Genomic DNA, 20083 nt, shown 5'->3' with positions numbered 1-20083 from the left:
TATGTGCATACGCATACATGTGGACGCCTAGGAGCACATGTGGAAGGACACATTAGCACCAGGGCAGGCAATGGGACTCTCACTCTATGCTGTTTGGATTTTCACAAGAAGGTATTCATTTACTACTTGTGCAATTGGAATCGTCCTTCTGAATAATGCAGAAGATTCTGCCCTGGTTCTAATATGGCTGGTCTTTCTAACAGACCTGCCCAGCCATGGCAGGAGGTCAAGACACACGTTTTCTTCCCATCTCTTTCCACTCTGTGTGGTGGGACCTTAACCGCTTCCCTCACCTCGCTGATACCTCAGTGACATACCTGGCTGACACTCCACCCATCCCTGTCTGCAGAGGGTGATGAAGCCCCACCTCACACCCCAGTCTCACTCCCACCTTGCAGAGCTGCTGCAGGGCTGAGATCATGAACCTGGAGGGCTCAGCCCAAGGCCCAGCAAGCAAACCCAGCTCCACTTGCAGAGACTGCTCTTCTCACTTGCGCCACTGTTGCTGAAGTTACTACCGTCGCCTCACGCAAGATAATTGTGAGATTCCAGGGGCCGCAGCCCACAGGCAGTGTGGTGTTTGTGGCTGCCCTGATCTCTGTCATTGCCCATTGATGCTTGGCAGCTCATTCATCTGCCCGCCTGCCCTCCTGCATGCAGGTAAGCTGGATCCTCCTCGGTGCCTGCAGCCTGGGTGGTCGGTGGTACCAGGTGTGGGGCCAGCCCAGCCCGGCCGTCCACAGCTGTGCATCCTCTGGCCACAGCTCTGCTTCACCCCCTCATCTAGAAAACCCTTGCAGGGACCCAGTGAAAGAGGCCCACTGTGGATGTCAGCGTGCTCTGATGACACGAAGGACAGGAAAGTGTGTACTGGAAAGAGCTTGGGGCGTGACCCCACCACCCACCCTGGTCTGTCAACTGGGGTTACGATGCCTGCCGCAGGTGTGGCTGTTAAGACTTATTTCGGTGAAGGCCATCAGCTGTAAGTGACAGAAGCTCAACCCAAACCAAGGGAAGCAAATGAAGCCAATCTGTAGTTGGTTTTTCAGTGCTGGGGCAGAGCTGGAGGCACCTTGCAGGAGTGGAGCAGAGGCTGGCAGAGCCAAGGGCTTGGTACTGGAACCAGCACTGAGACTTCCAGGGTGTGTCTACAGGACCCTTTGTCTGGTCTCCCCTGCCTTTCAGCAGCAGCGAGGCTCCCTCTGTGGGGGAGGGGGCAGAGAATACAGGGGCTGGGGTGGGTGCCCTTCCCACCCAGGGGACCATGGCAGGGACAGCTGCTCTTCCCAGCCTCCACATAGCCTTTCCAGGGAAGGAACCGACTGGCCTTGCCCAGGTCACATGCCCAGACCTGGCATCAATCACTGTCACCAAAGGCTGGGCTTCCTTAAAAGGCCTGGGTCCCAGGCACAGTCCTCAGCGGCAGGGGGCATAGAGGAAGGGAGTCCAAGCACATGCTGGGGAGTGAAAACACACTAACAAAACCAAGCAAAACAATGACCAACAACAGAAAACGACCACGCTGGCTGCAAGACCCACTGCACTAGGGCGTGTGATGCCTGGAAGAGGCCCAGGCACACAGTAGGTCTCCACAATGCAGACCGGCACTGTGATGGAGAACTGGCAAATGGGGTTCTCTTCCTCCCCGCCACCACTCCCACCACCGTCACCATGGCCACCACTCACCAGCAGTAAACTGTCCTCAAAAATGCTTTAAAACATTAGTCATGGTTTCCAATCCAACTTTTGAGAAACAGTATTTGGACCACGAGTGTGTGCTGCACACTCCAGGTGCTTCTGCTTGCAGATGTGAGGTTTAGAGTTGCCCACCATGCAGCGCACAGTGGGGCAGCGCACACGGGCCAGCACACAGTGGCACAGCGCACAGGGGCCAGCACGCAGTGAGGCACGCATGGTGGGGCGGCGCATGGGGGCAGCACACGGGGGCCAGCACACAGTGAGGCAGTGCGCAGGGGCCAGCGCACAGTGGGGCAGCGCACAGTGAGGCAGCACACAGTGGGGCAGCGCACAGGGGCCAGCGCACAGTGGGGCAGCACACGGGGGCCAGCACACAGTGGGACGGTGCACAGGGGCCAGCGCACAGTGGGGCAGCGCATGGGGGCAGGGGAGCACACAGCGCAGGAGCAGTCAGGCTGTGGGCTTCTCGGATAAGCGACAGGGCTCAAGGTCAGTCACAGGGTGGGTGGAGGGGCTTCTCCCTGGAGGCCTGGGTCAACTTTCAGTTTGCCTCTCTGCAGGGCATCTGGCTTTCCTTCTGTTGCAAGGGAAATTTCATTTGGAAAATTCCCTTAGAGGGTGTGTTTTCTAGGTTGCCTAAGAGGAAGCAGTCAAATCCAGGACGCAGCTATCACTGGAAACCAGGGCGGTGAGAGGCGAAGCTTGGATCTCGTCTGCGCAGACCTCCAGAGGCCTGCCCTCACGTGCCTGCCCATTCGGCAGCCGGAGCTGCTGAGACAGTGGAAGACAGAGCGGACCTCTGCCCCGTGCTGCTGATCCTCCACTGAGGAGGCCTCCAGACACCAGCCGCTGGGGAGATCATCCATAGTGACACTCTCCACCGTGGAGAGGAGTGGCAGGTGGAGAAAGGGCTGGGCTGTGGGCACAGCCTGGGGGGAGGTGGCCATCACACACCCTGGCCGCAAAATCCTCCAGTACAGAGGTAGCATCTAAGCTTCCCCAAGCCCAGAAGACTCCCCAACTTGGGGACGCACAGAAACGAGGCCCTGGAAGACATGGCCCAGGGTCCACACCGCCATAGCAGGGGGCAGGTGCTGTGATAACGAGGAAGTCTGTTCTCATCTCGCTCCATTCAAATACACTTTTGCCAATCCAAGACACACAAAGATGCTTTAAGAAAACAAACGGGGCTGGGCTTGGTGGCTCACACCTGTAATCCCAGCACTTTGGGAGGCCAGGGTGGACAGATCATTTGAGGTCAGGAGTTCGAAACCATACAAAAATTAGCCAGGTGTGGTGGTGGGCACCTGTAATCCCAGCTACTCAGGAGGCTGAGGCAGGAGAATCGCTTGAGCCCAGGAAGCGGAGGCTGCAGTGAGCAGAGATCGTGCCACTGCACTCCAGACTGGGCAACAGAGTGAGACTCCATCTCAAAAAAAAAAAAGAAAAAGAAAAAAAAAGTTTTCTGTTAAGTTGTTTAAGAGCTGGGCAAAACAATAGGTTTCAATTTCCCCCAGAATCAGGGCACAGGGATGAAACCCACACTCGGGACAGTAGGAGTGGGGGAATTTGGGCGGGAGTCACGAAGGTCGACCATGGTGCTGAGTCTTGGAGGCTCCCACCCCATCCCACCCCTGCCTGAGCCTTGGGTGACAGAGGAATGGTTGGGGGCCAGAGAGGCTGGAGTCTTCCAGGGGCAGAAAGGACTTGGGCCTCCGCTCAGAAGAGCTGCCCCTGCAGGGGCAAGGGAGAGAGGTGGGGCAGGGCAGGTCTAAGAAAGGCCCCGGCCACACCCGTCCTGGCCTTCCCTGGCCCTGGGCATGGTGGAAACCGTCCTCCCTGACACCCAAGCATCTTTAGTGGGACATTCCTTTCTCAAGAATGCAGCGTGGGGCAGGACTTCTCTTCAGGGTTTGGTCAGCTGGCCCTTCCTGCCTCAAGGCTGACTCATGGCATCGGTTATGCCCACGTCCTAATCCCTGGCACCTGTGAATGTCACTCTATCTGGCAAAGGCACTGTGCAAAGGCAATTGCATGAGGGCTTCTGAGAAGCGGAGTCCGTCCTGATCCTGTGGGCAAGTCCTACTGAGAAGGAGCAGGAGGGGCAGGGAGAAGGCCATGTGAGGATGGAGAGAGAGACTGGAGCGACGGAGGAAGGGGCCATGAGCCACAGCAGACAGGCACCACCTAGAAATTGCAAAAGGCAAGGAAACAGATTCTCCCCTGAAGCCTCCAGAAGAAGACAGCCCTGCCGACACCTTGACATTAGCCCAGCGAGGCTGATTTCAGACTCTGACCTGCAGAACCATGAGCGGATAGAATGTTTATTGCTCTGAGCCTCGGTGTGCTCATCTGTTACAGCAGCCATGGAGGTGCCCACGTGGCCGCGTCTCTGCACTGCAGATGCTGCAGGCGGGGCTGGCAAAGACCTGGGCTCCAACCCTGGCTCCAGCACTCACTGGCTGTGGACGACGATGGCTCAGGTCACCTTTCTGCACCTCAGTTTACTGACAGTGAGGTGGGAAGAATGAGCACCGGGCCCCCTAGACTACGGGGGTGTCAGATAAGCGAACAGGACCCCCCCCAGTCTCATGGGCTACTGAGGGAAGGCAATGAGATCCCATTAGTGAGGGGGCCCAGGAAAGTGGGGGTAGAAGGGCCACGGAGGCTTAGGGAGGAGCTGTTGCTAGTGTCCCCAAGCATTCATTCTCCCTTCATCTGCAGGAACAGAATTGTCAGCAGGGAGTGGACCCTTGGGAATAAAAACTACATTTCCCAGCATCCTTTGCAGCCAGGTGTGGCATGTGACCACATTTTGCCCAATAGGATATAAGGAGACAGCTGCATTGCATCCCTGCCCTTCTGCCCACTCCTGTCTGGGATGTTCCTGGAGCTCCATGCTCACAGTGAGGTGCAGGCCACACCCTGCGGAGGACAGAGCTGCAGGCTGGAAGGAGCCTGGGTCCCTGATGACCTGAGGCCACAGAGACGTCAGGGAGCCATGGACTGCCGACCCCTGGACTTTTGCATACTGGAGAAATAAACGTCTCTGGCTGAAGTTACTGTTGATGTGGTTCCCTATCCAGAGGGGCTTAGGAACTAGAGGAGCAGCAGGTACGCCAGGCCTCCAGTGGCAAGGAAAGGGGCACAGGGTCAGGAGGCCTGTAAGCCCCAGCCTCAGCCCCAGGGAGCCCCTCCACCCTCAAGCACAGCTCCTGAGAAAGCGCCACACACTGCAAGTCTGCCATAGCACCCACTGCCTGAACACTCGCAATGGTGGTGACCGACGCCACTGACGGTGGTAAGCATCCGGAAAAAGTGCGACAACACCACGAGTGTACTGGCCCGCTGTACCAACGAAGAGACCAGAATTCAGAGAGGCTCCCTTCACCTCTGCCCACCGGCAGACCACAAGGTCAGAGCTGTCACCTCATGATACCTTTGGCTCCAGTTGTGGCTTTGCGATCAATCCAAGGGCAACGTCAAGGGAAGGTAGTGAGTTCCCCACCCCACTATTTCCTAAACAGGGGCAAGAGAGAGGAACCAGAGTGGAGAAGGGCTAATGTTCTTAAATGATCCTACCATTCCGTTGCCAACATTTCTACAAGCATCCATTATTTTTATAATGAGAAACCTTCCCTCTCACCAATCCTCACCCACAGTGCTTTTCACAGTTCTGACTTTTTTGCTGCCTAATGATGGATTTGACCCACACACAGGAGGGCTCAAATCACAGGCTTGTAAGGAACAATTTAATCAGCTTTTGAGTCCAATTATCTCTCACATCCATGGGCTTTTAAGAAGATCTCCTCGAGCTCCATGAGGTTTGCCTCCTCCTTCCTTCCCTGTCCTTCAGGCCAGCCCAGGCCCACCTCACACCCACCTCTGCAGCTGCCCTGGCTGCAACAGGGAAGAAATGATCATGCCAACGGCAGGCACCTGAATCACACCTGGATTCCACAAGGTCCAGGCAGCCATCTCTCTCCTTCAAATAGTCTCAGGGAAATGACTGTTAATTAACTTTGCATTTGCTCATTCCCCGTGCAACTCATTATCCCAATTAAACCACCTCTCATGAAGTCTGGCTCTTTTTGCAGAAAGTTATTTCAAATTATTTCAACTCGAATGTCTGTGGTCCCTTATGCTGCTGTTTTTTCTTACCCAGAACATCATTTTCGGTTTGGAACCAGCATGCAAGGGGGAAGGAGCGGTGGCTCTGCTGCCAAGCTGTCAGTTAACCCTTTTCCAGGCAAGTCTCTTAACCTGGGAACCTTAGTTTCTTCTGCGCGATGGGTCCAGGGATGTTGATTATAGCAACTAAACAAACAGAAGCAGACCAAGAATAAGGCAGGCACAAGGGTGAGAATGGGAACCAAAGGTTTATGATAAATAAACTTGACTACCAAAGTCCAAAATAAAGATAAAATGGGGAGAAAAAAAGTAATGCCTGCCCCACAGGGTTATTATATGGCTGAAGTGAATTAAACTGGGTTCTGCACTCCAGGTCTTACAAGGTCTAAATCAAGGTGGTGGCTGGAATGAACTCTTACCTGGAGGCTCTGGAGGAGAATCCGCTTCTGGGTGCATTCAGGTGGCCCTGAAAGTCCAGCTCCTGGTGCCTGCAGACCTGGGGTCCTCATTCCATGGCTGGGGGCCACTCTCTGCTCCTATAAGTCACTCACACACCTTCTCACACAACCCCTTCCTCCTTCAAACCAGCAATGTTAATTCCAGCCTTTCTCACACATTGAATTTGACCTTCTTTTCTGCTGACAGCTGGAAAAGCTCCCTGCTTTCATTAGGCTCATGAGGTCAAGCCCACCAGATAATCTCTGATCTCAAGGTCAGATGGCTTGGGACTTTCATTCCTTCGTCAAAGTCCCTGCACAGCAGCACCTAGGCTAGTGTTTAACTGAACAGCCAGGGGTACGAATCAGTGGGCCCACCTTTAGAATTCTGTCTGCCACACCCATCATATCGTATCTTTCTAAATTTGCTTCTTTCAAAATTGAATAAAAGGATGAAAATCCACGCCCTCGCCAGAGGATCACAGCAATGCAGCTCATGGCAGCAATCACCCTGCGCTGGACACGTGTGGGTTCTGGCTTCAGCCTTGACGCAGAATCTGGGGTCAGGAGAAATACACAAGAGTTCTGCCTTCCTTTCACCCACATGACCTTGTGCAAGTCACCTAACCTGGCTGAGCCCGGTCCCCTCCTCGCCACAGATGGGCTGATCCACAAGAGGACATCTTTGAAGCACCCAGCACACAGCCTGGTACCCCGGCAGTGCTCAGCTGCTATGAGCACCGCGCCCACGGTCGACAGACTGTCAGACCATCTGCACGACCTTTTTTTCTTTTTAAAAACACCACTCAATCCTTGTTAGGGGCACCACGTGCTGTACAGTCGGCTCTTCCGGCACCCCCAGTCCCTGGCTAGCCCACCCATGCCCATTGCTGGACATGTGCTCAGACGACTGATCCAAGAGTCTTCCATACAGGCAGCTTCACCTCCACGTGAAGATAACTTGCACTGTGGTGCAGTTCCAGACCTCAAGGAGCTACCTGACCAGGTAGGTTCCCAAGAGCAGACTGCCTTTGGAGCAGTTCCTGAAGTGGCCACGAGGTGGCAGGCCTTTCCCTGGCAGATCAGAGAAATCCCGCAGTTCCAGATACAGACACAGGGCAGGGCATGGCCTGGCCTCAGCGGAGGTTCACAGTCCCCAAGGTGGCATCCCCTCTGGGACGACCTGTGCTTATCTGTCTTGAGGCACAGCAGCTACAATTCTTCATCAGGATCGGAGCTGCAAGACGCCCATCTGATTCCTTCCGAGCCCCAAAGGAAGGAAATGAACATGTTTCTTTTTTAAATCTCACAACAAATAATGTCTCAGTTCTACAGGTGAGCAGATCCAAGGTTGAAAGCAATGAAGTTACTTGGTCACAGCCAATAAGAAACATGAGATACTGTTTTGTTTTGTTTTGTTTTGTTTTTGTTTGTTTTTTGAGACGGAGTCTTGCCCTATTGCCCAGGCTGGAGTGCAGTGGTACCATCTCGGCTCACTGCAACCTCTGCCTCCCGGGTTCAAGCGATTCTCCTGCCTCAGCCTCCCGAGTAGCTGGGATTACAGGTGCCCGCCACCATGCCCAGGTAATTTTTTTCTTTTTTTGTATTTTTTTAGTACAGACGGGTTTTCACCATGTTGGCCAGGCTGGTCTCGAATTCCTGACCTCAGATGATCGACCCGCCTCGGCCTCCCAAAGTGCTGGGATTACAGGCATGAGCCACTGTGCCCGGCCGAGACACTTTTAAATTTTATTGCAGAAAGGCTGGGTGTGGTGGCTCACGCCTCTAATCCTAGCACTTTGGGAGGCTGAGGAGGCCGGACTGCTTGAACTCAGCAGTTCGAGACCAGCCTGGGTAACATGGTGAAACCCCGTCTCTACTAAAAAGACGAAAAATTAGCCAAGCATGGTGGCACACACCTCTAATACCAGCTACTAGGGAGGCTGAGGCATGAGAATCGCTTGAACCGGGAGGCAGAGTTTGCAGTGAGCTGAGATCGCGCCACTGCACTCCAGCCTGGGCAACAGAATGAGACTCTGTCTCAAAATATATATATAAAATAAAATAAATTTTATCGCAGAAAACTACAAACATATGCAAAAGAAAATCGTCATAACTCCTATGGCATTCATCACCCAGCTTCAACCGTTACTAACATTTGCCACTTGTGTTTCACCTGTCCTTGAATTTTTTTTCATGGAGAATTTACAAAGCGAATACCAGACATAGGGGCAATTTGCTGTAAATACTTCCGTTTGCATCTCTAAAGGTTAGGACATTTTACCCACCAGCCGTTACTGCTCCCTACCAAAAGTATCGATACTCCCAGTTTTCATCTAATACCCAGCTTTATATTCCAATTTCCCCCACCTATCTCTCAAATGCCCCGTTTAAGCTAGTTTATTCTATCATGATCCAAGTAAGTTCCACACATTCCATTCAATGACGTCTTTTAAGCTCATTTATTCTCTAATAGTTCAGTTCCACTTTCTTTTGTTTCCTCCAGGCTCGAATTAATTATATTATCATCATAATTATACTATTATCTTAATTATTGGTATTAATTGACACGGTCATTTGTCCTGTACAACATCCCATTTGGGGTTTAGCTGTTTGCGTCTTTCTGCAAGGGGCATATTACCTGGCAAACAGTAGGTATTAATCAGCATGGGTTGAATGGTTTCAATGGCAGAAAAGCAAAAGAATAAAGGTTTGGTCCTTTACTCAAGTGGTCCTACATTCACTAATGTAACAAGCAGGCAAAACTCCGCTTGAGAAGCCACCAGCTCGCGCCCTGGGATCCTGGGGAGGGCATGGGCTCCAGCCCTGGGATCCCGGGGAGGGCACAGGATCGAGCCCTGGGATCCCGGGGAGGGCAGGGACTCTAAGTCTGGGATCCTGGTGAGGGCACGGGCTACAGCCCTCAGATCTTGGCCGCCAGAACTGCACTCCAGGCCACGCGGTGCTGAAGCGGGAGCCAGGCCCTATCTCCTGCGGGAACCCCGCTTGGGGGCCGGCACCGGGGCCATAAGAACACGCGGCCCTCTGTTCTTGGGGGTATGCGCTACAGCAGCATGGACCTCGGTCAGGTTATGAAAACGTGTGCATTTATGAGCTTTAGTTGTGCCCCAATGTTTTCTATGCGCTGTTCTTAGTCTGTTTTTCGTGTTTTGAGAAAACTGAAGATAACAGAAAGGTACAAAACACACGCCCATATTCCCATCATCCAGCATCAAAACCGCCAACATTTCGTCCCATTTGTTTCCCGGGTTTTGTTTCCTGTTTCACCAGAAATCACTGGTGGAGACGGAGACCCCAGTGCCTTCTCTCCGCCTCGGGCGCCTGGAGAAGCAGCTTCGGGGTCGGGGCGCCCTCCCAAGCGGTTGCCTCCGCGGTTCTCAAGCAACTACGCCGCCGTTTGGGTGGCGCTCGCGCCGAGACTTCATTTTCATTTAGCAAACATGGAGTGCTCCGCGCCGCTCTGGAGCCGGGGTGTGAGGGTGAACAGGGCTCCCCACGCTCGTTCCCAGAGCAAAGGAAGGCCCGCGGTGTCAGCGCAAGGGCGGGTGCGGGCCGGGAAACGACAAGCTGCCGCCTCACTCCTACCCAAAACCAGGCTCTGAAGTCCCTCCCGGCCCGCGACGCGCGCGCCCCACCCCGGCGCTGGCCCCGCCCCCTCACGCTGCCTCCTCATTGGCTCCTCCCGGCATCGCCACGCCCACAGGAGGCTCCTCCCAATGCTCACTTCACCTTTCACCTCTTCAGGGCCTCCGGTACGCCTCAGGCCCCGCCCACCGGGGGGTGGGGAAAGATGCTCTTCCGTGACCCACAATTATTGGTGACTATTGCCTGTCCATAACAGGAAAAGCGATTACGGATTGGCTGAGGCGAAGTAGTAGGGCAGAAAAGTGGGTATAGCTGCCTGCACGCACGCTTGGTGCGTGCGCGGCGACTGCGACGGGCAGTGGCAGTCATGGCGGCTCAGTGCGTGAGGTTGGCGCGGCGCAGTCTTCCTGCTTTGGCGTTGTCTCTCAGGTAAGGGGCACTTGGTCTCCCTGGGTGGAGGTGGCAGCGCGACCTCCCGCTCCGATGGGGGCCTTTCCCGGCCCCGGGGCCTCCTTCCCGGCCTCGGCCCCGGAGCTGGGCATCTCCGGGCTCGCGGTTCCCCGCCGCGGGACGCGGACCGCCCCGCTGGGGCCTGCTCTGCTGCCAGGCTGCCAGCTCAGGGCTTGGGAAGCGTGGAGCGGGCGGGCGCCGTGTCAGGAGGAGAGGACCGCAGCGCGGGGGGCGTTTGGCTCGGAAGGTACGGTGGCCCACGTGCGCGTGTGGTCCAGGGCCTGCGGCGACGCCTCGCGCGCATTCACGGTCTCGGCGCTCACGGGCGCAGAGGCAGCCGCAACTTGTGCGGTTGAAGAAGCGACCAAAGAAGCTCGAGCTTTGTCCAAGGTCACGCAGCGAGGCCGAGCCGGGCCGGGTGTGCCCTGGGCAGGAGCTGTGGTTACTCATTTCCGTGCCGCAGCTCGAGGCCGGGGCCACAGCGGTGCTCGGGAAACTTCGTGTCGCAAGGTGCGTGTTGCCCGTTCACGGGCTTTTTCCACTCGACCTCGAATTCCTTCACTCCGCCTTCTCCAGCGTCTGAGGTCAAAAGAGCAGTCGAACCTGTGCTGCTGCTGGGCGAAGAGTTTGTTTAGACAAGGGCACATTTCGGGCCTGAGGGCCACGAGACAGTGCCCCTTTTTTTTTTTCCCCTCAAATCTGCCCCTTCTGCTTTTTGAAAGTTCTACTTTAGAAGTTAGTATGGCAAGTACTTGCTGGAGGAAGTGCCTAGAACCAAGTTATTGATTAGAGAAGCCACTGAGGGCCAAATTGGCCAAAAGCTGGGCAGTGAGATGTAGTTCTTTCCTGAAGGAGAGCAGGCAGGTGAGGTGAAGATCACTTTCAGTCTAGGTGATTAAGGGGTAAGTGCTAGCTTAATAAATTATATCTTAACAACACAGGAGCCAAGAGCAACGACCCACGTGGAATACTTGAGTAAAAAGACTTTGGTCAAGTAATTGGTGGTTTTGTATTGGAATTAATTGCCAGGAAAGTGACCACCAAGTCAGCATCATTTCTGTCTCTAGAATGGTAGTTTTGTGGAAAGATGCTCAACTAGGGAAAGGCAGGAGAACTGACTGGTAGTCATAGCTCTCAGAGTAACTAGGCTTTCTGAGACTCAGTTTCCCTCTGCAGAACGAGATGGCCCCGGGTGTGGGTCCTGTTGCACATTCCTGGCCACACTTTGTGTTGGCTGTGCTTCGGAAAGGGGTCTGTGAAGAGCTGACCTGCAGAAAGGCTGGTGGCTGTCACACCCCCAGGCAGAACAACTGGAGAGGAAGGTGGGCTTCACAACAGTACACTCAGTTTTTATTTAAATTCTTAGCTTTTTAAATTCACAAGAGTAAAAATATAAAATGGTCATCGCTCTCCACCCCCATGGCAAGACTGTAATGGAGGCTTCCACTCCACTTCTTTCCACAGATCTAAGATATTAATAAGTACACAGGATTTCTAGTTTGTCTTTACAAAAATAGGATCCTGTTTTGTGTATTTCTCTGTAAGTTGCATTTCTTAACAGAACATCCAAAGTGTATCCAATAAATGGCAGTTTAACTCATTTTTAGGAGCTGCATAATATTCCAGATTGTGTTAGCAAGTTTATTCAACCATTTGCTCGCTGACAAACATTGTTTCCAACTTGTCGCTCGCAGTGCTGCAATAAACAGCCTTGACTGAGTTCTGTGTGCTGGCAGCCTTCACCTTCCTATTCGTTGAAGCAGTTTTAATCTGGGAAGAAAATTGAATGTAGCTTATTCTCAGATAGGACTGTGGCCTAATTTAAAAAGAGGTCCTGGCCGGGTGCGGGCGGATCACGAGGTCAGGAGATCCTAGACCATCCTGGCTAACACAGTGAAACCCCGTCTCTACTAAAAAAATACAAAAAAATTAGCCGAGCGTGTTGGTGGACGCCTATAGTCCCAGCTACTCGGCAGGCTGAGGCAGGAGAATGGCGTGAACCCGGGCGGCGGAGCTTGCAGTGAGCCGAGATGGCACCACTGCACTCCAGCCTGGGTGACAGAGCAAGACTCCGTCTCAAAAAAAAAAAAAAAGAGGTCCTCTGGTCCTGGTGAAGAAATCTAGGTTTTAAGACTTTATTTTATCATTCGTTGATGGCTTTGTGACCTGGGCTTATCACTTGGTCTTGGTCTATTTCACCGGTACATATCCCATGCTTTCCTGTCTTCATGCCTTTGTCCAAGCAGTTTCATCTTCCTGAAGCTGCATCTATCCCATTGTCCCACCTCTGATCCCTTTTTCGTAACTCTTACCTATCCTACAAAGCCTTTCATGGTTTTCCATTCCCCAAGCTAGGTATCTCCTTCTACTCTGAGCCTCCCAAAGCACAAAGCACTTAGTTCCCTTTTTTTTTTTAATCACTTTTTTTTTTTTTTGAGACAGAGTTTCCCTCTTGTCGCCCAGGCTGGAGTGCAGTGGCGCGATCTCAGCTCACCTCAACCTGCGCCTCCCTGATTCAAGCGATTTTCCTGCCTCAGCCTCCCAAGTAGCTGGGATTACAGGCATGCACCACCACGCCAGGCTAATTTTGTATTTTTAGAAGAGACGGGGTTTCTCCATGTTGGTCAGGCTGGTCCCGAACTCCTGATCTCAAGTGATCCACCTGCTTTGGCCTCCCTAAGTGCTGGGATTACTGGCGTGAGCCAGCGAACCTGTCTTAATCACTTTTAAATCACAAATTACTGTTCTTTGTGTTTAGATACCTTTTTTTTGCAAGATCTCTGCTGGGTCTATCTTTGTCATCAGGATCAGCAGTAGGCCAGCCTCACTCTAGTAGTAGCTATTCCATAAGTACGTGGTTAGGTCTGGGCAGACTGTCTCAGTCACCTTAGAATGGAAAGAGGAGGTTAGTACTGTTCTGTACCAAGTACTGTAACTTGGCACATTGACATGTAAGTTTAGGCATGTACTTACAGAAGATCTTATAAAAAAGACAGGCACAGTGGCTCATGCCTGTAATCCCAGCACTCTGGGAGGCTGAGGTGGGAGGAACACTTGAGCCCAGGAGTTCGGGGTTACAGTGAGTTATGATTGTGCCACCATACTGTAGCTTGGGTGACAGCGAAACCCTGTCTCTAAAAATACATGGAGAGGCCAGGCGCGGTGGCTCACGCCTGTAATCCTAGCACTTTGGGAGGCCAACGCGGGCAGATCACTTAAGGTCAGGATATCAAGACTAGCCTGGCCAACATAGTGAAACCCCATCGCTACTAAAAATACAAAAATTAGCCGGGTGTGGTGACGAGCAACTGGGGAGGTTGAGGTGGGAGTATCCCTTGAACCCACGAGACGGAGGTTGCACTGCACTTCAGTTTGGGTGACAGAGCAAGACTCTCTCTCTCAAAAAAAAAGAAATACATATAGATATAGATAGATGTATAGATAGATAGATATATAGAGAGAGACCAATCCTGTCTCTAAAAAAATATATATATGTTTATCTTAGATCTAATAAAGGCACATTGTATATGACTTACAGCTTTTATATTTACTAATATAGCTTCTATATGTCACGTACAGTGTGCCTTTATTAGATCTAACAGAAATGTTTTCTCCCCAAGTAATAGTAAATAGTTTGAAGCTATTTTAAGTTTCTAAAGTCATACATCTGACTTTAATAAGCACAAAAACTAAGTCTTCGTTTCTCACGTGTGGACTTCCCTGTAGGCCATCTCCCCGGTTGTTGTGCACAGCCACGAAACAAAAGAACAGTGGCCAGAACCTGGAAGAGGACATGGGTCAGAGTGAACAGAAGGCAGATCCTCCTGCTACAGAGAAGACCCTCCTGGAAGAGAAGGTCAAGTTGGAGGAACAGCTGAAGGAGACTGTGGTGAGGACTGTGAGGCTCCTGTGGGGGCGGGCTCGGCTGAACTGTTTCTCTCCTGGGCCACATAAAGGTTCCAGGTTTCATTGGTGACAGACTAAAGCCAGAGTTAAGCCGTTGTCCATGGCCTGCAGTGGGCCCAGGTGGCAAGTTACTGCCAAAGCAAAGACTAAAACCCAAATCCTGTGCAACTCTGGTTCTGGCAAGAGACTAATCTTTACACGCTGTTATTTGTCATTGAATGAAAACTTAAAATCATCTTTACAAATGAGGAATGCTCAGTATGGTTGTTTAGGCTGGGACTTAGGAGAGGAAGCAGAAAATTGCAAGTACAAGAGTTGGGAGCAGGAGTGTGGTTTTATGTGATGCTCTCATAGGCAGGTAGGAGTTTTATGAACTAGTAACATGGATTATTACTCCATGTGAAAACACATAGGTGGCACAAATCAAGTTCTTTAAGGATTTGAGAAAGACATCAAACCCTGAGTGCTGGCACCATTCCAAACCCGTTACATATGTTAATCCTGGCTGCCAGGTGCGGAGCCAGGGCTCGAACTAGAACCCCCTGGACTTGGAGCTCTTGCTCCTTGCCACTGTACAGTGATTACCTGAAGACTGAAAATGGATGCAGTATAGAGGCCCCCACAGAGCAACTTAGTAAATGTTAAAAAGAGAAAAGCTAGCTGGGCGCAGTGGCTTACCCCTCTGATAGCACTTTGGAAGGTTGAGGCAAGAGGATTGCTTGAGCCCAGGTGTTCAAGACCAGCCTGGGCAACATAGTGAGACTCCATCTCTAAAAAAAATTAAAAATTAGCTGGGCGTGGTGGTGCACTCCTGTAGTCCCAGCAACCCAGGAGGCTGAGGTGGGAGAATTGCTTGAGCCCAGGAGGTTGAGGCTGCAGTGAGCCGAGATTACACCACTTCAACCTGGATGATAGAGCAAGACCCTGTCTCAGAAAAAAAAAAAAAAGGCTCAGATGAGTGAGCTTACCGGAAGGTGGTGAGACATGAGGAATATACTAGAACTCAGATGATGATTACACAAGGAATGTTTGAACTGAGCCACCTCTGGGTAACACAGCATAGCAAAAGATCATGAGTGCAGCTTTTATTAAGCTTTCATTAAGCTGCCCTCCTTAGTCACATCTCAAAGGCAGTGATATTACTTCTGTTTTGACTTGTAGTTAGTTACACAGCCGTTTTCCAATCAAGCTCGCTTTCCTATGACTTTGTTCCATATTAATATAAATCTCCCGGCCAGGCATGGTGGCCCACACCTGTAATCCCAGCACTTTGGGAGGCCGAGGCGGTCGGATCACAAGGTCAGGAGATGGAGACCATCCTGGCTAACACGGTGAAACCCTATCTCTACTAAAAATACAAAAAAATTAGCTGGGCGTGGTGGCAGGCGCCTGTAGTCCCAGCTACTCGGGAGGCTGAGGCAGGAGAATGGCGTGAACCCAGGAGGCGGAGCTTGCAGTGAGCTGAGATCATGCCACTGCACTCCAGCCTGAGCGACATACAGAGCAAGATTCCGTCTCAAAAAAAAAGATATATATATATATATATATATATAAATATCCCTTTTTTTCTCTTTTAGGAAAAATATAAACGAGCTTTGGCAGACACTGAGAACTTACGGCAGAGGAGCCAGAAATTGGTGGAGGAGGCAAAATTATACGGTACTTTCAACATAACATGGTGTTGATTCCGGAAAGAAGATAATGGGGTGGGGAAGGGGAAGGCCATGCATACGGAAGTGTCAGAGAGCAAGGCTGTGGGGTGGGGGGTCCAGCTGTTGCATCCCCTGCATTTTTTTTTATGATGGCTCAACAGCAAAGGTGTCTGGAGGAGCAGAAATCAAGTAGCTGAGACTAGCATGAAGAATTGTAAATAGGTGTGTCCTCCCCCACGCAGAGACCTTGGTGGGAACCTGCAGCAGGTCAGCCTCTGATGCCCATCCCCTTAGCCCTCCGGAAGTAACACTGGCATCACTTCAGAACTCCCAGCATGCTATATGCATTGCCACCTTTGGATGTTTTTGTTACTGTCCTTCCCATTTTACAGTTGAGATCATTGAGGTTTAGTCACCTGCCACACATCACAAAGCTGGTACGTAACCCCAGGCTCCCAGCTCCACAGGCTGGTTGTTTGAGTGCTGGCTCTGGATCTCTGCGTGACTGACAGTGGGTATTAGAGATGTGGAACCTAAGGCTCGAGGGAGGGTAAATGGCCTTGCCTGGGTCAGACGGTGAGAGGCCACATGGAAACTAAGAGCTAGAGTCTCTGTCGCATTCACAGAGACTGAGGCGCTCATTGAAACACTTTTTTTCCTGGATACTGTGGCCTGTTTCTTGGTATTCCGCCTCTCTTTGTGGTAATGTGCTTTGTTGGTTCTTACCCTTTCCGACCTGTAAATGCCTGGGCTCTTGGGACTCAGTACCAGACCTCTTCTCTCCCCTTGCTGTGCTCCCTGGGTGACTTACATACTCTTACGGGCTTAGTGGCATCCACACACAAGTCTCAGCTTCAAACTCGGATCTTCCGAGTTCCAGTCCCCTAAATCTTACTGCTTGCTTGACATCTGGGCTTGGATGTCTCAAGGGTATTTTCCCCTCTACTGCACTCCTTTCTTCACATTTTAGTGAATTCTAAATTTAGTAAATTCTGGGTCTCATCCCACAAGTAGCTTTTGAGAGTTTTGTGTTGTTTTTTAAAGTTATTGAGCCATTGGAATTCTGAGGCGATTGATTTGACAAGTTACTAAATAGCCTCCACATCAGGTCAGCAGTGCTCAGTTTGGAATTGCCCTGTGCGGTTGGTATGGAGTGCAAATGATCTTCTTTAACTTCATCCAGGCATTCAAGCCTTCTGCAAGGACTTGTTGGAGGTGGCAGACGTTCTGGAGAAGGCAACACAGTGTGTTCCAAAAGAAGAAATTAAAGACGATAACCCTCACCTGAAGAACCTCTATGAGGGGCTGGTCATGACTGAAGTCCAGATCCAGAAGGTGTTCACAAAGCATGGCTTGCTCAAGTTGAACCCTGTCGGAGCCAAGTTCGACCCTTATGAACATGAGGCCTTGTTCCACACACCGGTTGAGGGGAAGGAGCCAGGCACAGTGGCCCTAGTTAGCAAAGTGGGGTACAAGCTGCATGGGCGCACTCTGAGACCCGCCCTGGTGGGGGTGGTGAAGGAAGCTTAGCTGCTGTTGATGGGGTGGGTGTTTTTAAACTCACTTGATGTAACTCTCAAGGCTGGTTCATTGTTTCTCATCTATGAGTACGTGTGACCTTTTCCCAAACCTTATTGGAAACCTTAAGTAACCAGTGGCTAAACAGAAAAGCCGGTTGCCCAACTGCATTAATGAACTCTAATTCGGGAGTCTGTTCCCTTTTAGTGCCACGCGTTGAATAGTTCCACATACTTTCAGAAGAGCTCAGCAGGGCCCTGCCTGGTCTCCCGAGCATCATGAGTAACGTGTCTGCTCAGACTCTGCTGACACCAAAGTATTTTAAACAAATAAAAGGTCTTGGGGAATTCTGTTTGGCTACCTGGGCACGCCAGTCTGCACCATGTGTCCCTGCGGCGCATGAGTGACTGGCGTATTTAGCCCGTCACATTTCATTCGCTGAAGGAAAGGCAAGAGAGTTGAAACATTTTTCTTACTTAAAAAAAATGATCTTTGTGAAGAACATAGTGAGTTCGTTTGTCTTCAGTCAACAGCGGCTGAAACTGACCACTGAGAAATGGGTGTGGGCACTGACAGTTCTCCCCCATTATTTGGCCAGGAATTGAGCTTGGCTTGGCAAAGTTCCTTTTACCCTGTTCTGTTCATCTAAATGCAGACATATTTAAATCATATTCAACTAGTTACTAATGACCTCAAGTTGTATTCCCTGGCAAAATGGACTTTCTCAAAATAGGACTGCACGCTTGGTGTACTTTAAATGTTAATGTTTAATTTAAAATTTTTATTTAAGAGGATTAAAGCCCTAATGTTTATTTTCCTACTTTCTGAAAACAATTTTGTGTCCTCTCATGGAGATCCTTGCCGCTGAGGCAAGCATGGCTTAGCCTTCCCATTCTCTACTCCAGCCCAGAAGCTGTCAGCTTGACACGTGCGTGCGTGCACATTCACGTACACACATATACAGGCTTCTACACAGAAAGGGAGAGCCACACTCCCCCAGTGCAGCTGCAGCCCGTCCGGTAAGAATACGAAACACCCAGGAGCCACAGCAAGGGCACAGGATTTGCAAAATCATCTTGCCAAAGGGCTGTTCCTCATTTACACGGTCATCCAGGGCTTAGAAAAAGGCTGAATGATTGGCGTCTGTTACAAAAAAGAGAAAAGAACCTTTCGCTGCCTTTGCTTCTAGAATGGAAGATACTTGTGAAAGCCATTTGCTGCACAGGAAAGATGGGGCAGTTTATTTCACTTCTAATTTTAAAAGACGCAAGTAATGGTCCCATAATACTTCATCTTGGGATACCATTCCCAAACATGTTCCACCTTTAAGATGCCTTAAGTTAATTTGGTCAGAAACAACTAAAGGCAGCATCGTGTATTGAAGAAAACATGACTGGGAGCTCCAGCGCTGCCTGTTTTCACGCTGTGGGGTTGTGAGTGCATCATCACCCCTGGAGCTCCCGAGTTAAATGGAGGCTAAGAAAAGTAATTTATCAACTCATTTCTGTGAATGTTTGCAGTCTCCTACCGTCTCAACTACAGCTGCAGTTGCTAAAAAGCACTTAACTCGTAACCTAGAGGCAATATAGCTTAAGTAGCAAAATATTTTTTTACAGTAAGCTTCAGTCATCCATAGTCACTATAAGTTGGTTATCATCTGAAATGCTTAGAACCAGAATTGTTTCAAACTTGGGGGGTTTTCGGATTTTGGAATATAGTCAAGCATGGCTTAACCACAGGGATGTGTTCTGAGAAATGCGCTGTCAGGCAGTTTTTCCTGTGAACACCATGTGTACCTACATGGACCTAAAAAACAGGTGGTGGAGCCTCCTCCACACCTAGGCTATATGGTGTATGTAGCCTGTTGCTCTAGACTGGAGGGCACGTTACTGTACTGATACTGTAGGCAACTGTTAACACAATGGTATCTGTGTATCTGAACATAACATAGTAAAGGTACAGTGCAAACTGTGTTCTAATATGTGGCCCCTCATTGACTGAAAAGAGATTCTCTGCTTGACTATTTGCATTGTATTTGCTGGTTAAGTATCCCCAATCCCAAAATCCAAAATGCTCTAAATGAGCATCTCCTTTGAGCACCATGTAGGCACTCAGAAAGTTTCAGATTTTGCAGCCTTTCAGATTTGGGGATACTCAACCTGTAATAGGAAAATGTCTTTTAATTATGTGCATATTTACAGTAGGAATTAAAGATTTGTTTAGCTACCTTCTAGTAGTTACTGGATTTAGCATAACTGCAGCATGAGTGAAGTGTCACGTGTGAACAGTGAAAACCAGAACTGGAAGTCTCAGAGGCATCTGAAAAGTCGGCCTGGCTTCCTGAAAGACTCAGACCCATTTGGCTTTCTCTGGCTGTACTGCTGCTTTGAGGGAGGAGAGCACCTGGCACGAAAGGGTCTCTGCTTAAGAGAAAGCAACTTTAGGTCGGGTGCAGTGGCTCACGCCTGTAATCCCAGCACTTTGGGAGGCTGAGGCAGGTGAATCACCTGAGGTCAGGAGTTCAAAACCAGCCTGGCCAACATGGTGAAACCCCGTCTCTACTAAAAATACAAAAAAATTAGCTGGGTGCGGTGGTGGGTGCATGTTAATCCCAGCTACTTGGGAGGCTGAGGCAGGAGAATCGCTTGAATCCGGGGGGGCGGAGGTTGCAGTGAGCCAAGATTG

The 20083-nt window shown here is 50.7% G+C and overlaps 1 protein-coding gene and 2 long non-coding RNA genes across 3 annotated transcripts in view, besides 6 other annotated features; 1 reads left to right on the top strand and 2 right to left on the bottom strand.

Moving 5' to 3' along the window:
• Positions 1 to 7724, bottom strand: part of LOC105374370 (uncharacterized) — a 28511-nt gene extending 20787 nt beyond the window's left edge. Inside the window, exons 1-2 of the long non-coding RNA XR_925103.3 lie at positions 6249 to 7724; positions 5860 to 6015 (exon numbers count right to left, since the gene is read on the bottom strand). This is a non-coding gene — a long non-coding RNA (uncharacterized LOC105374370). The remainder of the gene's footprint in view (positions 1 to 5859; positions 6016 to 6248) is intronic.
• Positions 7548 to 7617: an enhancer, noted in NCBI's record as "active region_21274". NCBI's record gives its function as "activates an Ori minimal core promoter by ATAC-STARR-seq in GM12878 lymphoblastoid cells {active_cell/tissue: GM12878}" and the evidence as "EXISTENCE:reporter gene assay evidence [ECO:0000049][PMID:35858748]".
• Positions 9693 to 9782: a silencer, noted in NCBI's record as "silent region_15249". NCBI's record gives its function as "represses an Ori minimal core promoter by ATAC-STARR-seq in GM12878 lymphoblastoid cells {active_cell/tissue: GM12878}" and the evidence as "EXISTENCE:reporter gene assay evidence [ECO:0000049][PMID:35858748]".
• Positions 9823 to 9872: a silencer, noted in NCBI's record as "silent region_15248". NCBI's record gives its function as "represses an Ori minimal core promoter by ATAC-STARR-seq in GM12878 lymphoblastoid cells {active_cell/tissue: GM12878}" and the evidence as "EXISTENCE:reporter gene assay evidence [ECO:0000049][PMID:35858748]".
• Positions 9883 to 10012: a silencer, noted in NCBI's record as "silent region_15247". NCBI's record gives its function as "represses an Ori minimal core promoter by ATAC-STARR-seq in GM12878 lymphoblastoid cells {active_cell/tissue: GM12878}" and the evidence as "EXISTENCE:reporter gene assay evidence [ECO:0000049][PMID:35858748]".
• On the top strand, positions 10208 to 19377 carry GRPEL1 (GrpE like 1, mitochondrial). Its single transcript, NM_025196.4, has 4 exons — positions 10208 to 10301; positions 14049 to 14211; positions 15806 to 15887; positions 17064 to 19377. The coding sequence occupies exons 1-4, from the start codon at positions 10240 to 10242 to the stop codon at positions 17408 to 17410; spliced, it is 654 nt and encodes a 217-aa protein (NP_079472.1). The 5' UTR covers positions 10208 to 10239; the 3' UTR covers positions 17411 to 19377.
• Positions 10333 to 10562: a silencer, noted in NCBI's record as "silent region_15246". NCBI's record gives its function as "represses an Ori minimal core promoter by ATAC-STARR-seq in GM12878 lymphoblastoid cells {active_cell/tissue: GM12878}" and the evidence as "EXISTENCE:reporter gene assay evidence [ECO:0000049][PMID:35858748]".
• LOC105374368 (uncharacterized) lies at positions 11646 to 13389 on the bottom strand. Its single transcript, XR_925102.3, has 2 exons — positions 13085 to 13389; positions 11646 to 12092 (listed from the first exon to the last, which is right to left on the bottom strand). It is a non-coding gene; the product is annotated as an uncharacterized LOC105374368 (long non-coding RNA).
• Positions 12882 to 12983: a silencer, noted in NCBI's record as "fragment chr4:7067016-7067117 (GRCh37/hg19 assembly coordinates)". NCBI's record gives its function as "represses an EF-1alpha promoter that drives an FKBP-Casp9 reporter gene in an ReSE screen in phorbol 12-myristate 13-acetate-treated (for megakaryocytic differentiation) K562 erythroleukemia cells {active_cell/tissue: K562(+PMA)}" and the evidence as "EXISTENCE:reporter gene assay evidence [ECO:0000049][PMID:32094911]".
• Positions 19378 to 20083: the final 706 nt, after the last annotated feature.

This window comes from Homo sapiens, chromosome 4 (assembly GCF_000001405.40).
Source record: "Homo sapiens chromosome 4, GRCh38.p14 Primary Assembly".
Lineage (NCBI taxonomy): Eukaryota > Metazoa > Chordata > Mammalia > Primates > Hominidae > Homo > Homo sapiens.
The sequence above is the reverse complement of the archived record's forward strand: the minus strand, read 5'-3'. Positions and strand labels throughout refer to the sequence as shown.